Here is a 4,427-nt window from a genome sequence, read left to right on the forward strand (position 1 = left end):
TGATATTTATGTATATACTATATTATTCTTTTTTTAAGATGGGGTCTCACTCTATCACCCAGGCTGGAATGCTGTGGTGCCATCTTGGCTCAGTGTAACCTCTGCCTCCTGGTCCAAGTGATTCTCCTGCCTCAGCCCCCTGAGTAGCTGGGACTACAGGTGTGCACCACCATGCCTGACTAATTTTGTGTTTTTAATAGAGTTGTGGTTTCAGTATATTGGCCAGGCTGGTCTTGAAATCCTGACCTCAAGTGATCTGGCTGCCTCAGCCTCCCAAAGTGCTGGGATTACAATCGTGAGTCACCGCACCCAGCCTATTTAAAAAAAAAAAAACCAAGAAACTGTAAACCATTTAAATTTAGCAGTGGAGGGTTTTATACCAACTTTAGTGACACTAAATGTTAGTAAGTTCTGATAACCCACTATCATTGGACCAAACTGTACTATAATTTTTGTCATTATTTTAGAGTGTACTGTTAGAAGTTAACCGTAAAACAGCCTCAGGCAGGTCCTTCAGGAGGTGTCCAAAAAAGGGCATTGTTATCACAGGAGGTGACAGCTCCATGCCTGTTATTGCCCCTGAAGACCCTCCAGTGGGACAAGATGTGGAGATGGAAGACAGTGATATTGATGATCCTGACCCTGTGTAGGCTGAGGCTAATGTGTGTGTCTATGTCTTGGTTTTTTAACAAAAAACTATTAAAACGTAAAAACAAGAAAAATTTAATAGAAAAAAGCTTATAAAATAAGGATACAAAGAAGACATTTTTGTACAGCTGTACAATATGTTTGTGTTGTAAGTGAAGTGTTATTACAAAAAAGTAAAAAAGATTAAAAAAGTTTAAACATTTATAAAGTTAAAAAGTTACAGTAAGCTAAGGTTAATTTATTATTGAAGAAAACAACTTTAATTAATTAGTGTAGCTTAAGCGTGCAGTGCTTGTGAAGTCTGCAGTAGTGTATAGTAGTGCCCTAGGCCTTCACATTCACTCACCACTTACTAACTCACCCACAGCAATTTCCAATCTTGCAAGCTCCATTTATTTATGGTAAGTACTCTATACAAGCAGATCTTTTAAAAAACATTTTATACTATATTTTTACAGTATCTTTTCTATGGGCCTGTAAGGCCTGTGGGTTCTCGCGTCCCCCAGCTCCCCCCGCAGCCGGCTCCTCAGTGGTCCGCTCCGGTTGCCAGGTGCGGATTCTGTTCCTAACTGAAGGCTGAGTGTTCTTCGCCATTAACTGTGGCCCCGACAGGCCTGGGTTACTGCGGCCACCGCCACAGCAGCCTTGGCGCTATGGAGGAGCCCGGGGCTACCCCTCAGCCTTACTGGGGGCTGGTCCTGGAGGAGCCACGCAGGGTTGTGGCAGCACTGCCTGAAGGCAGGAGACCAGATTCGAATCCTTATGGATTTCCATGGGAATTGGTGATATGTGCAGCTGTCCTTGGATTTGTTGCTGTTCCCTTTTTCTTGTGGAGAAGTTTTAGATCGGTTAGGAGTCGGCTTTATGTGGGAAGAGAGAAAGAGCTTGCTGTAGCGCTTTCTGGACTAATTGAAGAAAAATGTAGACTACTTGAAAAATTTAGCCTTGTTCAAAAAGAGTATGAAGGCTATGAAGCAGAGTCACCTTTAGAGGATGCCAGCTTTGAGAAGGAGGCAACAGAAGCACAAAGTTTGGAGGCAAACTGTGAAAAGCTGAACAGGTCCAATTCTGAACTGGAGCATGAAATACTCTGTCTAGAAAAGGAGTTAAAAGAAGATAAATCTAAACATTCTGAACAAGATGAGGTGATGGCGGATATTTCCAAAAGGATACAGTCTCTAGAAGATGAGTCAAAATCCCTAAAATCACTGCTAGCTGAAGCCAAAATGACCTTCAAGAGATTTCAAATGAATGAAGAACAAATGAAGATAGCAATACAAGATGCTTTGAATGAAAATTCTCAACTTCAGGAAAGCCAGAAACAGCTTTTGCAAGAAGCTGAAGTATGGAAAGAACAAGTGAGTGAACTTAATAAACAGAAAATAACATTTGAAGACTCCAAAGTACACGCAGAACAAGTTCTAAATGATAAAGAAAATCACATCGAGACTCTGACTGAACGCTTGCTAAAGATCAAAGATCGGGCTGCTATGCTGGAAGAAGACATAACAGATGATGAAAACTTGGAATTAGAAATGAACAGTGAATCGGAAGATGGTGCTTACTTAGATAATCCTCCAAAAGGAGCTTTGAAGAAACTGATTCATACTGCTAAGTTAAATGCTTCTTTAACAACCTTAGAAGGAGTAAGAAACCAAATCTATATTCAGTTATCTGAAGTTGATAAAACCAAGGAAGAGCTTAGAGAGCATATTAAAAATCTTCAGACGGAACAAGCATCTTTGCAGTCAGAAAACACATATTTTGAAAGTGAGAATCAGAAGCTTCAACAGAAACTTAAGGTAATGACTGAATTATATCAAGAAAATGAAATGAAACTCTACAGGAAATTAATAGTAGAGGAAAATAACCGGCTAGAGAAAGAGAAATTTTCTAAAGTAGACGAAATGATCAGCCATGCCACTGAGGAGCTGGAGACCTACAGAAAGCGAGCCAAATATCTTGAAGAAGAACTTGAGAGAACTATTCATTTTTATCAAGGGAAGATTATATACCATGAGAAAAAAGCACATGATAATTGTTTGGCAGCACAGACCGCTGAAAGAAACCTCAATGATTTAAGGAAAGAAAATGCTCACAACAGACAAAAATTAATTGAAACAGACTTTAAAATTAAATTTTTAGAAAAAGATCCTTATGCACTTGATGTTCCAAACACAGCATTTGGCAGAGAGCATTCCTCATATGGTCCCTCACCATTGGGTCGGCCTTCATCTGAAACGAGAGCTTTTCTCTATCCTCCAACTTTGTCGGAGGGTCCACTCAGACTCTCACCTTTCCCTCCAGGGGGAGGAGGAAGAGGCCCAAGAGGCCCAGGGAATCCTCTGGACCACCAGATTACCAGTGAAAGAGGAGAATCAAGCTGTAATAGGTTTACTGATCCTCACAAGGCTCCTTCTGACACTGGGCCCCTGTCACCTCCGTGGGAACAGGACCGTAGGATGATGTTTCCTCCACCAGGACAATCATATCCTGATTCAGCTCTTCCTCCACAAAGGCAAGACAGATTTTATTCTAATTGTGCTAGACGCTCTGGACCAGCAGAACTCAGAAGTTTTAATATGCCTTCTTTGGATAAAATGGATGGGTCAGTGCATTCAGAAATGGAATTCAGTGGAAATGATACCAAAGATAATCTTGGTAATTTAAATGTGCCTGATTCATCTCTCCCCGCTGAAAGTGAAGCAACTGGCCCTGGCTTTGTTCCTCCACCTCTTGCTCCAATCAGAGGTCCGTTGTTTCCAGTGGATACGAGGGGCCCGTTCATGAGAAGAGGACCTCCTTTCCCTCCACCTCCTCCAGGAACCATGTTTGGAGCTTCTCCAGATTATTTTCCACCAAGGGATGTCCCAGGTCCACCACGTGCTCCATTTGCAATGAGAAATGTCTGTCCACTGAGGGGTTTTCCTCCTTACCTTCCCCCAAGACCTGGATTTTCCCCCCCTACCCGCACATTCTGAAGGTAGAGTGAGTTCCCTTTAGGGTTGAGTCTGCCTTCAAATGAGCCTGCTGCTGAAGATCCAGAACCATGGCAAGAAACTTGACAATATTTTTGCTCTCTTCAAAAGTCATTTTGACTATTCTCATTTTCAGTTGAAGTAACTGTTGTTACTTCAGTGATTACACTTTTGCTCATATTCAAACTTAATGGAATTATAATTCTCAGGATAGTATTTTGTAAATAAAGATGATTTAAATATGAATCTTATGAGTAAATTATTTCCATATCATTTTATTCTAGATAGTATAACTATTTTAATTTGTTTAACTAATCCACTATTATATAAACAACAGTGGGAGATTTATAGATGTAATCTTGCAGGTGGGGAGGCTTTACATTTGAAAGGCCATGGCATTATGCCAAGAACTGTATTTACTGTGGTTGTAGACAAATGTGAAAGTAACTTTATGCTTAATTAAATAAATTTTACTTGATTAAAAAATATATATAGGTTGCATTATTCTTCAGGTATGGAGAGACCAACAGATCAAGTGTCGATTACCACTGAAAAAATGGTTTGTTACTCACAGATCCCAACAGAAGGGAAAGTACTATGCCATGCAGCACTGAATAGGGAGGCAGTATGGTCAGCGAGAAGGCAGGAGTGATGGAAAAACATGGGCAAGAGCCTTTACAGTGGCTTCCATGGGAAGGAATGAGTGAGGCAAGGTGAGCAGGGTTAAGGTTAGCTATTATAATTTGAGTAATTTCAGCAGGCTCTGGGTATAAGGGCTGTCCCTAGTTGTCTGGTACCTGG

General features: G+C 40.8%; 2 pseudogenes across 1 annotated transcript; one reads left to right on the plus strand and one right to left on the minus strand.

Moving 5' to 3' along the window:
- RNY4P30 (RNY4 pseudogene 30) lies at positions 345 to 439 on the minus strand (annotated as a pseudogene).
- CTAGE10P (CTAGE family member 10, pseudogene) lies at positions 1,120 to 4,091 on the plus strand (annotated as a pseudogene). Its single transcript, NR_003268.3, has one exon. The product of NR_003268.3 is annotated as a CTAGE family member 10, pseudogene (transcript).
- Positions 4,092 to 4,427: the final 336 nt, after the last annotated feature.

This window comes from Homo sapiens, chromosome 13 (assembly GCF_000001405.40).
Source record: "Homo sapiens chromosome 13, GRCh38.p14 Primary Assembly".
Lineage (NCBI taxonomy): Eukaryota > Metazoa > Chordata > Mammalia > Primates > Hominidae > Homo > Homo sapiens.